General features: G+C 38.6%; 1 protein-coding gene across 6 annotated transcripts in view; it reads left to right on the top strand.

The window, feature by feature from the left end:
- Positions 1-12,187, top strand: part of MRPS5 (mitochondrial ribosomal protein S5) — a 36,635-nt gene that overhangs the window by 9,385 nt on the left and 15,063 nt on the right. For 2 of the 6 annotated variants that reach the window (NM_001321997.2, NM_001321996.2), the window contains exons 4-10: positions 2,578-2,703; positions 4,211-4,365; positions 6,162-6,196; positions 7,889-7,979; positions 10,896-10,942; positions 11,725-11,782; positions 12,083-12,145. In NM_001321997.2, coding sequence (NP_001308926.1) covers positions 4,227-4,365; positions 6,162-6,196; positions 7,889-7,979; positions 10,896-10,942; positions 11,725-11,782; positions 12,083-12,145 — 433 coding nt within the window. In that variant the 5' untranslated portion in view covers positions 2,578-2,703; positions 4,211-4,226. Of the gene's footprint in view, positions 1-2,577; positions 2,704-4,210; positions 4,445-6,161; positions 6,197-7,888; positions 7,980-10,895; positions 10,943-11,724; positions 11,783-12,082; positions 12,146-12,187 lie in introns of all 6 variants that reach the window. The other 4 variants (NM_001321995.2, NM_031902.5, NR_136152.2 and 1 more) reach the window with 3 other exon arrangements.

Here is a 12,187-nt window from a genome sequence, read left to right as displayed (position 1 = left end):
GTAGGAAATAGTCTTTGATTTCTGAATCTCCAAGAAATAGAAGGACACACTTTTTCAAAAATGATTTCCTATGAATATTGAATCTTATAAACCTATCTGTTTTCTGTAGAGGATCCACTGTTTAAATCCCTTTGATTCAAATTAGCAATCTGTGTTACTTAGCATGATTAAGAGGGAAATAACTCCATGTATAAGATTAGACACTACAGTGGATTTATGTATATGTATGTGTGTGTATATATATATAACATGAGGCCGGGTGCAGTGACTCAATGCCTGTAATCCTAGCGCTTTGGGAGGCTGAGGTGGGCGGGTCACCTGGGGTCAGGAGTTGGAGACCAGTCTGACCAATATGGTGAAACCCCGTCTCTACTAAAAATATAAAAATTAGCTGGGCGTGGTGGCAGGCACCTGTAATCCCAGCTACTCGGGAGGCTGAGGCAGGAGAATCTCTTGAACCCGGGAGGCGGAGGTTGCAGTGAGCCGAGATCGTGCCATTGCACTCCATCTGGGGCGACAAGAGTGAGACTCCATCTCCAAAAAAAAACAAAACATGAACTTAATCTTTTATAGTTAATAGGTGTATATATTAACCTAACTGCACCCTTCTGGAAAAATGACAGAAAGAATTGAAATGATAGTAGATGTATTCTAACTAGCCTTTTAGGTTATTTAGAATCTTAGACCTGAGGTAAAAATAGTAAAATCTCTGTTAAAAGAACTTAATTCACCTTGCAGCCATTACACAATTATGTTGATGAATAATATTTAAGAATATGGGAAAAGACTCACAATGTAATATTAAATTTAAAAAAAACAGGATACAAATGTGCATATGGTATAATTCTGCTTAAATATATACTATGTATGCATGCATAAAGAAAAAGGCAGAATATACATTCTTATCTAACAATGGTAATGGGATTATGATTATTTTTGCATTCTGTATTTTCCAGATTTTTAAAAATAGCTATTTTATAATTTGAAAAGTATTAAAAACGTTTTTAATAGCATAATGGCATTCAAAGGTTGACTAATGACTTGCTGTCTTTTTCAAATATAGTTAGATATTTTATTTTCCTCTTACTATATATATATAAAAGAGCTAAACTCTTAATTCAGTCTTTTTACATTTTTGTCTCAATGTCAAGTTCTTTTTAAAATTGAGTCTCTTTTCATCTTAATGAGTGATTTAAGGGTTCTGATTCTAAGTGAAAGAAAACTCTGTGATTGATTGGCCTCTTAGTATGCCTCCATTACAAGTGAACTTTCAAGTTTTCCATGGCATTTATAGGTACCACCATTTTTTAGCACTTAGAGAGAAAAATCAAATCCTTAGTGAGAGTTTGGTTGGAGGTTGGTACTTTTATTTTGAGCCTGTGGTCTTTTAAAGTGAATTAGAGTTGGCTTAAAGTTGAGCCGAATCCTTTGTTCTGGTCAGGGATGTCCAAAACAACATGTGATGTGGAATCTCACTTTCCCTGAGCCTCACTTACGAAGACCAGCTGTGTATATGTGTGTGTTTTTGAAAAATTGGATGCTATACAGATATAAAGCATTTAAAAGTATTATAACCCTAAAACATTTTTCTCTTTTCGTGTTATCTACCTGGAGGATCAGCGTAAGACCTTGCAGGAAGCAAGTAGGTAGAAGTTTTAAACTCTAAGCATTCATAAGAGAATGAAGGTACTCATTTATCTTCTAGAATTTGTTTAGTATTTCAGTTATATAGATATAAATATGTCTTAGATTTTTTACTGTTATAACATTTTGTGGTTCCGATTCTTTATTAAAGAAATTGGTAATGGAACAATTATTTTTTTGAAGGCAGGGTCTCACTCTGTCCCCAAGGCTGGAGTGCAGTGGCATGATTATAGTAATCTCAAACTCCTGGGGTCAAGTGACCCTCCCACCTCAGCCTCCCCAGTAGCTGGGACCATGGGCACATGCCATCACACCTGGCTAATATTTGAAGTTTTAATAGAGATGGGATCTCACTATGTTGTCCAGTCTGGCCTCCAACTCTGGCCTCAAGTGATCCTCCTGCCTCAGTCTCCCACAGTTCTGGGATTACAGGAATGAGCCACTGTACCTGGCCAACAGTTGATTTTATAACCATAGATTGTGTTCCAGATTTGTGGGTTCAGATTGAAATGTTGATTCTTGTTTGGACTAGAAAACTTATACTTAGGAAGGATAGTTATTAGTTATCTTAGTGGTTATAATGGAGGCAAGAGGACAGGGAAGACGCCTATATCATGGTTGATAAAATGTCAGGGAAACGAACCTATTGGTAAGTAACTGAGATTTGAATGCTGGCTTTTAAGCAGTTAGAGGGAAAAATAAAATATTTAGTGAGAGTTTTGTGGAGGAAAGTAATAGAATTGTCTCTTCTTGGGCTTTCCAAGTGTAACCGTCTGATGTGTGCAAAGGATGATTTAATTTTGCTTTCATTACCTCAGTGATGCATGGGTAAAGCTGTAAGCTGACCTCCACTTCTCTTATTATTCAATAGGAGATCATAGACCATTGCTTGAAAACTACAGAATTAAGAAAAGAAACCCTGTTTCGTTACAGTGACTGCAGATGAGCTGTGGAAAGGCGCTTTAGCAGAGACTGGTGCTGGAGCAAAAAAAGGAAGAGGCAAAAGAACTAAAAAGAAGAAAAGAAAGGATCTGAACAGGGGTCAGATCATTGGTGAAGGTAAACTTATTTATAAAAATAGCTAAAGTGCTTTGTAAGTTTCTTACCCCAGATTTTATAGATATTTTACAAACTAGAAGCATCAAAACATTTCTTATGAAGGGCACTACGATCTATGGTTTTAGAATTCAACCAGTTGACTTACTCATTGCCCCAGGATTCTGGGGGAGGAAAATCCCATAGAAATGGATTTATTCATTCAGCAAGCATTAAATGTCCCTAGGTGTCATCTCCTATAATAGTGCCTGCCCTCAAATAGGTTATAATTAGTGATAAAATAGAGACTAAATGGAGAGTTGGCGAATATTCCCTGCAAAGGGAAGATAGTAAATGTTTCTGGCATTGTGAGTTACATAGTCTGTTTTGCAACTGCTCAACTCTACTGTTGTAGCACAGAAACAGCCACAGATAACACACAGTCGAATAGGCATCGTTATGTTCCAGTACAATTTCATTTACAAAAACAAGTCACGAACTGAGTTGGCCTGTGGGCCTTAGTTTGTTGACACCCAGAACACGTGATTGTTTATACTCATGCTTTTGGAAGAGTAAAAATAGTGTAGTGTACTTCAATCAGCCCGTCTTGTACTGTGCTTGCTGACAAACCATCTTTGATAGTAATGGCCTTCAGGGATAAAGAAAACACCTGGCACCACACTTCCAGCATCGCATGTCTACTTGGATATTTTTCTTTATTACTTATATCTTATTTTTTTAACACTTTTTTTTTAAATTATAAGAATCATGTATTTATACTTTCTCAGTAAAAAATGTAGATTATAGAGAAACTTGAAGTCCCCCTGGATGCTTCTTCTACCTTCTTCAATCCTATTGTCTCCCTCAAGGAAACCACTGGCCTCATATTGGTGTGTTTCCTTCAGTTTTTTAATACATAAATGCCTAAAAAGGTATTTATGTATTAAATTTTAGGTATTTATACATAAATACCTAAAAAGATGAATACAAAAGGTATTATGTATTAAATTGTTATTAATTTATATATAAATAGCTAAAAAGAAATAGATATCTTCTTTTTTAAAAAAAATTTAGATTATATCACATGGTACATGCTGTCTTACAGTTTACTTTTTTCACTCAATAATAGGTCTTGGAAATCATTCCACATCAGAACCTAGAGAGTTACCTTGTTCTTTTGATTTAGTGCAGAGTGTTTCCTATGCTGGAGACGCTGTGGTTCATTTAACCAGTCCATAATTGCTGGACATTTGTATTAGTTGCATTTCTTGCCTTTGCAAATAATGTTTCAGTGGACGTCCTTGTCCAAGCATCCATATGCCTTGTACCTGTATGTGAGTGTTTCTCTAGGTAATACCATGAAGTATATTTAAAATTTTGATTGTGCCAAGTGACCTACCAAGTTAATAATGTTAGCTTAAGCTCCAGTGAACAGTGTGTCATCATTATCTGTACATGCATTGCCTGACATTTTAACACTTGAAAAATGAGTACTTTAACAAAATTATTATTTATATTTTTAAACCTTCAGGGCGTTATGGTTTTCTATGGCCCGGACTGAATGTCCCTCTTATGAAAAATGGAGCAGTGCAGACCATTGCCCAAAGAAGCAAGGAAGAGCAGGAGAAGGTGGAGGCAGACATGATCCAGCAGAGAGAAGAGTGGGACCGAAAGAAGAAGATGAAGGTTAAACGGGAGCGAGGATGGAGTGGAAACTCATGGGGAGGCATCAGTCTTGGCCCCCCTGACCCTGGTCCCTGTGGAGGTAGCAAACTCCTGGTTTTGTTTGCCTTTGTGACAGAGAGTACTTGTAGTTTAGAATTTCCTTGAAATGGTGTTATTACTTGTCTGTTTATACTACCTTTTTCCAAAAAAGATTTGAACATCTTTGAAATAACATATCACATCAATATCCCAACTGTATTTTGTGGAGTGCAGAAGTATTCCACTAACAGGATAGAAAGCACTGGGTTCCTGGTATTTATCATGTACCTTCTCAGATCCTTAAACGTGGGGATGTGCACTGTGGACCTACAGGAGCTGCCTATAGGATACACTGTTTCCAAAACACAGGTGGCCACAGGGACACCTGTGGAGCAGCATGGCTTGGGAATGCTGTTTCTGTACTAGAAATCAGCAAAGCAGATAGTTGTCATGTTAACCCTATAAAAACACAAATGAAGCAAAAATTGAAAATACTTAGGCCAAATTTGAAAACAAAGTTTCCCCCAGCCCTCCGTGAGTATGTAAAGCAGTAAAAATCATCCAAGAGATGTGTTCTTGTCAATGAGTGGGAGAAGAGGAAATAGGTAAGAGTTTCGCTGCTTTCTTAAGAAGTTTGGCTTAAAGAGGAGGGAAGAGGTTGAAACTGGAGGGGAGAGATTCCAAAGAACATGCTTAGAACTGATCAAAATGCTTCAGTCAGGAGGATGAAGGTATGGAAGGGAGAGAACAAAATCCATGAACCAAGTCCCTAATGACAGCCCAGATTCAGAGTGTGAAGTGGCTTCACTTGCTCACAGAAGGAAGGGCAGGGCACAGAATCAGGTGAGCCTGTGGGGTTGTAGTGGAAAGGTAGGTGGGGGTGTTGTGTGATGTGGCCGCAGTTGGTCTGTAAGGAAGAGGTGGAATCATCTGCGGAGAGTGAGATGGGGACATTGATGATTATGGCCTCCAGATTATTTCTTTACGAAAAGGTAGAGTATCTGAAACTGGCTTCAAATTATCCAATGTAGTGAGAGTTGAGCAGAGTTTAGAGGAAAGATTGGCTGTAAGTTGATGCGTGTTGAAGCTGACTAATGTATACATAAGCTTTCTGCTGTTCTATTTTTGTTTGATTGAAATTGTCTGTGATAAAAATATTTTGAAAATAAAAGAACGTAGGGAGTCTTTGAAATGGCTGCAGTGGTGAACTGAGAGAGACCTAACCGAAAGGACATAAAGGCCAGCTGGCAGCAGGGAGGACTTGACGGAATTGGGGCTCATGGATTTTTAGTGGGCCCTGTGTATGCATACTTTGACTTCTTTCCAGCAGCACCCAGCAGGTCAGGAGTGGCCAGAGAGCTGCATGGATTCAGGCCTGGCTAGTATGGTGGAGAGAGCAAAGGGTGAAGGGGTTGAGGGCATCACAAAGTTTCGTGGAAATGATGGACTGTGGTGTCTTGGCCTAGGGGGAGAGGCCGTGAGAGGGAGGGAAGCAGAAGGGAGAGCAGGGATCCAGGGTCTGGAGGGGCCAGGAGCTGATGAGAGATGGATGGGGAGGAGGGTGCAGGTGGGGAGATCAGTGACTGAGTTTATGAACTTAACTGGTGGAGCAGTCTCTAGTGATGAGGGGTGACTGGGGCATGGCCTTGAGAGTGGGACCAAAAGATCTGAGATTCTTTCTCCCCGAAAGGTCTGTGATGGTGCCTGTGTTGAAAATGCTTTCATGTTAATTGTGTACACACATTTCATCTGTATCCCTGTTTCTTTTCTCCCTACAGAAACATATGAGGATTTTGATACCAGGATACTTGAGGTAGGCATGCAGAATTAAATACCTGGTTAAGCCTTTGGAGAGGTTGGGGTGGGTGGGGCAGGGACAGGGCAAGAGGAACTGTAAGGGAAGGCCTTGGATGCATGACTATTTCTGACACACAGCTGATCTGCGTAAGGAAAATTGTGCAACTTTAATTTCAGTTACTGGATACTGGCTCTTCTGACTACTACCCTCTCTGTGGGGCGGGGAGCTACCACTGAGGTCTCATAAGGTGGTATTGTTAACTACAGGATTTGGAGATGAGATTTAAATTATCTCCTTCCTAAAGTAGCATTGGGAGTCTATGTTTGAATTATAAACCAGCTGTATCTAGCAGTCTATGCAGGGATCTGGGATTGCAGGGAGCCCTGGGCAGGGTAGAAAGCTTAAGAGTTGTGGTGCCTGTCTGGTTCTTGATGGGGAAATGGTCTCTGGGTTGCTCACAGGCCCTTGAAACTAAAGTCTGTATCAGGTAAACTATAGTCACTTTGCGGAGCATTCTCTAAAATAGCCAACTTCCCTTTGAGCTGGCACTGAATGCTCAGTGTTAAATACCATGTGGAATAACCATTTATTGAGTTTGTGATTGAGCCTCTGAATGTATGTATTGTTTCCTCAATATCAATTGCACTGTAGGATTTAAAATGTTTACACATATTATGTCTTTGGTATTCCCACTTACAGCTTTTAGAAGTTAATCTCTTTGAAGAATTTGTATATATGTGGGTGATTTTCTATAAGATCCACAGAGGTGGATTCAAGCTCCCTTTTCTTTTAACCCCATTTTATGGGGAAGAGACAGCTATGCACCAGAGAGCCAGCTGCCACGTAAGCAGTTTAGTTAACAGTTTAATAGTTCCTGGCCTTTTTTTTTTTTCTGAGGTGGAGTCTTGCTGTGTTGCCAGTCTGGAGTACAGTGGTATCGGCTCACTGCAAGCTCCACCTCCCGGGTTGACGCCATTCTCCTGCCTCAGCCTCCCGAGTAGCTGGGACTACAGGTGCCTGCCACCACACCCGGCTAATTTTTTGTATTTTTAGTTGAGACGGGGTTTCACTGTGTTAGCCAGGATGATCTCGGATCTCCTGACCTCGTGATCCGTCTGCGTCGGCCTCCCGAAGTGCTGGGATTACAGGCATGAGCCACTGTGCCCGGCTGTTCCTGGCCTTTTAAATACACAGAAAAAAATACACAGAATAAGCAGGTATTTCCAAATATGTTAATCCTTAGCGTAGAGGCCAGTCCTGTGCTGGTTATGTCTATATACTGCATATCATAATTTCTGAGGTGTACATTTTCCTCACATTTTAACATCTCTGACATTGGGCTACATCTTATAATCAGTGATAAATTACATCAAAGTTTGATCAGCAACTTTTTTCTTTCTTGTAATACATTCATTAAGATAGGGTATATCGAGATGTATAATGTCAAATTCCTTTAAAGGTTTTCTCAGTTATCATAAGCCTGTGAAATGAAGAGAAAGTCTCATTTCTGTTTTCTCCCTGAAACAGTCCAGGAGGAGGTTTTGTTTGGAAAAAGGCTGTTACTTGTGCTCAGGAGTTGGAGGATGGTGTGCCTGTTCTCTGTGTGTGCCTGTTCACCGTGTATGCCTGCAAGGAAGGCGGCTCCCTCCAGTTCCCTCCTTCAGATTTTCTTAATGTGCAATATTTATGAGACATTTTGCCTTTTAGGTAAGAAACGTTTTCACTATGACTGCGAAAGAGGGAAGAAAGAAATCGATCCGTGTCTTGGTGGCTGTGGGGAACGGAAAAGGAGCTGCAGGTGAATGGGGAGTGATGGCATCACAGTGGCGGTGGTGTGCAGGGAAAGGCGTGGCACGGGCCATGCTGTGGAGCCCATGGGCTCATGCTGCTGGCCGGACTTTTTCCATTGATTAAACCTTTTAGTGGTTTGGGTTCACAAAGCTTGTGGTAAGTCCATGACTTCCCTTAGAGAGAAAAGAGAGAATAGATTCTACTGTACTTGCCTTTTCCTCTGAGGAAAAGGAATATTATAAAAGGCTGAAGACATTATTTTATTATGTATAATAGTGGAAAATTAGGGAGAAAAACTAAATGTTCAATAGGGCCATGGTTATAAAAACAGTGTAGCCATACACTGTAATATTCTGTATCCATTAAAGAATTATGGGAAATTAGTTTTAAAATAATGCTAAGTTAAAAAAAAAAACACAAAAACGTTATATAAGACCATATAAAATCCTAGTTTTGTTTTTTTCTTTTTTAAAAGTATATTTATGTGCCAAGAAAAGACTGGAAAACTGTACACTGTAAAGGTTAATAGTGTTTACTCCAATTAGTAGGTTTGCTGATGATTTAAATTTTCTCCTATGTATAGTTAACATAGTGGACACCTGTTTTTGAAATGTATTCATGTCTGTTGAAGGAAAAGAACACAGGAAAATGGCCTAGTTAGCCCATACTGACATTTAACAAAAGTAATACATATATATATAGTATGTGGCCAAAGGAAACCAGGCCTAACAGCTACTTTTGTAATTTTCCTAAATTTTATGTTCATATTATTATCATACATCTTTAAAAAATTTACATAAAGGGATCACATTATAGCCATAATTTTGCACCTTGATTTTCTGACATAGTATTATATTCAGAGATATTAATACTCAGATTAACATAAACATTCTCCTTGATTCGTTGTACTGGTTGCAAAGTGTTCCATTGTGCATGGATAATTTTTGTAACCTTTTCCCTACTGCTGAATATTTAAGTTGTTTCCAAATTTTTACTAATTATAAAAAACTGTACAGTTCGTTTATGTGTAATTTGTTTTACTTCTGCAAGTATATCAATAGGGGAAACTTCTTGCAGTAAAATTGCTGCCCCAAGGTTATATGTATTTTAAGTGCTGATAAATATTCCTAGATTGCCTCCCCACAAAAGGTTGCATCAATGTCTGTGTTTCTCTACACCATCTCACCCTTGCCAACTTCGGGTTTCATCAGACCTTACTGATTGTCAGTATGATCTGTGAAACAAATCTCTCAGTTTTGATTTGCATTTTTTAAATTATGAGAGCTTGAACACCATTTTACATGTTTATTGGCTGTTGTTATTTCCTTTTTGAGATCTGTTCGTTATATGCTTTGCCCGTTTTTCTGTTGGGTGGTTATTATTTTTCTTATTGAATGGTATAAGCTCTTTGTAAGTTAAGGACATTAGCCCTTAGTCAGATATTTTGACTTAGGTTTTAATTTTTTTCCACACAGAAGTTTTAAGCTCTGTGGCAAATTTATCAGTCTTATATCACTACAGGGTTATAAATATTAGTTATCACTTCGGGTTTGTGTCTTGCTTAGAAAGCCTCATTTGAAGATTGTAAATGTTAGTAAGTTTCCCCATATTTTCCTCTAGGACTTCCATGGTTTAATTTGTTTTGTTTAAACTAGGAATTGGCATTCACATCCTCTTTTGTCCCAGGTCTCAGAGGTCCCTTGTATCTTATAGAGCAGTATTGTTTTATGTTATTTTCCCATGTATAATTTAAAAACAAAATACGTTGTTCAAAACAAAATACAGTGGCAGCAGATAATGGCAGTATCTCTGTAACTGCTGGTAAACTGTATTTCATAGTGAAGTGTTCATAAACTAAAGAGTCATTGATTTGGTTTCCTGGCTAATTAAAATCTGAATTCCATTTGAAGTTCCATTGAAATCATGGTTTTACTCTATAGCAGTGGATGTTTTTTCCCAACCTTTCTGATATTTTTTTCCTTCCTGAGACAGGGTCTTGCTCTGTCACCTGGGATGGAGTGTAGTTGCACCATCAAGGCTTACTGCAGTCTCAACTCTCTGAGCTCAAGTGATCCTGCCACCTCAGCCTCTTGAGTAGCAAGGATTACAGGCACCTACCACTATGCCTGGCTAATTTTTATATTTTTTGTAGAGATGGATTCTCACTATGTTGCCCGGGCTCATCTTGAACTCGAGCTCAAGCAATCTGTCCATCTTGGCCTCCCAAAGTGCTGGGATTATAGGCGTGAGCCACTGCACCTGGCCCCTTTCTGATTATTTTAATCTATCTTTAAATGTTCAAAGTGATTTGCCTAATTCATTTAAAGCATATTTAGTTTTTTTTAAATTGAGTGTATTTTATCTAGATATTTTTAAAAGGCAGCATCTAACCTTGGATTTTATAAATACATCTAAATTTGTTATTTCCAGAATGCTTCAAAACAGATCTCTGTAGCCTCGTGCTTTGTTATTGTTAGGTTTTTTTTTTTTGTTTTGAGACAGGGTCTTGCTCTATCTGGAGTGCAGTGGCACAGTCATAGCTCACTGTACCCTCAAACTCCTAAACTCAAGTAATCCTCCCATCTCAGCCTCCTGAGTAGTTGGGACCACAGTCATGCACCAGCATGCCTGGCTAATTTTTTAAATTTTGTTCTTAATAGAGACAGAGTCTTGCTGTGTTGTTCAGGCTGGTCTCAAACTCCTGGGCTCAAGCGATCCTCCCACCTCAGCCTCCTAAAGTGCTGAGATTACGGATGTGAATCATTACACCCAGCCTATTAATGGTTTTGTATAGCAAGTCTTTTGTGGGTGGTGGAAAGATGAAGTGCTGTGAAATATTGTAGGAGCAGAAACTTGAAATGTGGCAAAAACCACATGGGCAAAATTTCTGTCTCTTTTCTTATTTTTGCTTTTTTGTTTAAAGGTTTTTCTATTGGGAAAGCTACTGATCGGATGGATGCTTTCAGGAAAGTATGTACATTTTTTTTCTTTGTTGACACTCAGTAAAAGATTAGTAAGTTATATGCCAGACACAGTGGGAACCACAAAACAATAATAATTTGTCCCAGAACCTTCCCATGAGGCTTGCTGTCAAGGGTTAATTAGCTCATAAAAATCAGTTTCAGAAGTACTTATATTCCTTTGCACCATTTTTTATCAGATTTGTAATTGTCTAGCCAAGTTATGAGACAATTGTGGAAGTTTGAACACTGACAGAATGTTTGAAGATACTAAGGAATTGTTACTTTTTTTTTTTTTTTTTGAGACGTTGTCTCACTCTTGTCACCCAGGCTGGAGTGCAGTGGCACGATCTCGGCTCACTGCAACCTCCGCCTCCTGAATTCAAGTGATTCTCCTGCCTCCGCCTCCCAAGTAGCTGGGATTACAGGTGCCCACCACCACACCCGGCTAACTTTTGTATTTTTGGTAGAGATGTGGTTTCTCCATGTTGGTCAGACTGGTCTCGAACTCCTGATCTCAAGTGATTGGCCTGCCTCGGCCTCCCAAAGTGCTGGGATTGTAGATGTGAGCCACCATGCCTAGCCAGGAATTATTGTTAATTTTTTTAGGGGTGATAGTGATATTGTAGTTAAGAGTTTTAAAAAATAAGTCCTTATATTTTAGAAGTATATACTAACCTTTTTGCGTAAGTGAATTTTTGATAATGAAACATTTTTATTAAAAGTGTTTTTGGAATCCTTGAAAAGATGTAAATTTCAACAATAGAGTTAAGAAAAACATTTTCCTTTCAGGCAAAGAACAGAGCAGTTCACCATTTGCATTATATAGAACGATATGAAGACCATACAAGTGAGTGATAATCTATTTTTTTTTTTTTAATTTGCAGGATTACATTTGTTAAAGTCTGTGTGACAATGTATCTCTATAGGTATCTTTGTGTTTCTCTCTTATTACATTCTTACAAATATATGAAGTGTGAAAACAAATCTCCTAAGAAGGTTACTAAAATGAATGAAATCAGAGCTTACCATTTATCTTTGGTCAATATGTGCTGGCTGTTGAGGCTAGTATACATTGCTTTGTGATATTTGCAAAGGCTTATTAAAGCCACACACCTAATCCTCTTGTGTTTATGTTTTTACCCTCCAGTATTCCATGATATTTCATTAAGATTTAAAAGGACGCATATCAAGATGAAGAAACAACCCAAAGGTAACTTTAAAACTCTTACCATTTGTTGATGATAAAGCAGAG

The sequence above is a fragment of the Homo sapiens genome, chromosome 2, assembly GCF_000001405.40.
Source record: "Homo sapiens chromosome 2, GRCh38.p14 Primary Assembly".
NCBI classification, from domain to species: domain Eukaryota; kingdom Metazoa; phylum Chordata; class Mammalia; order Primates; family Hominidae; genus Homo; species Homo sapiens.
This window is presented reverse-complemented; position numbering and strand designations above follow the sequence as displayed.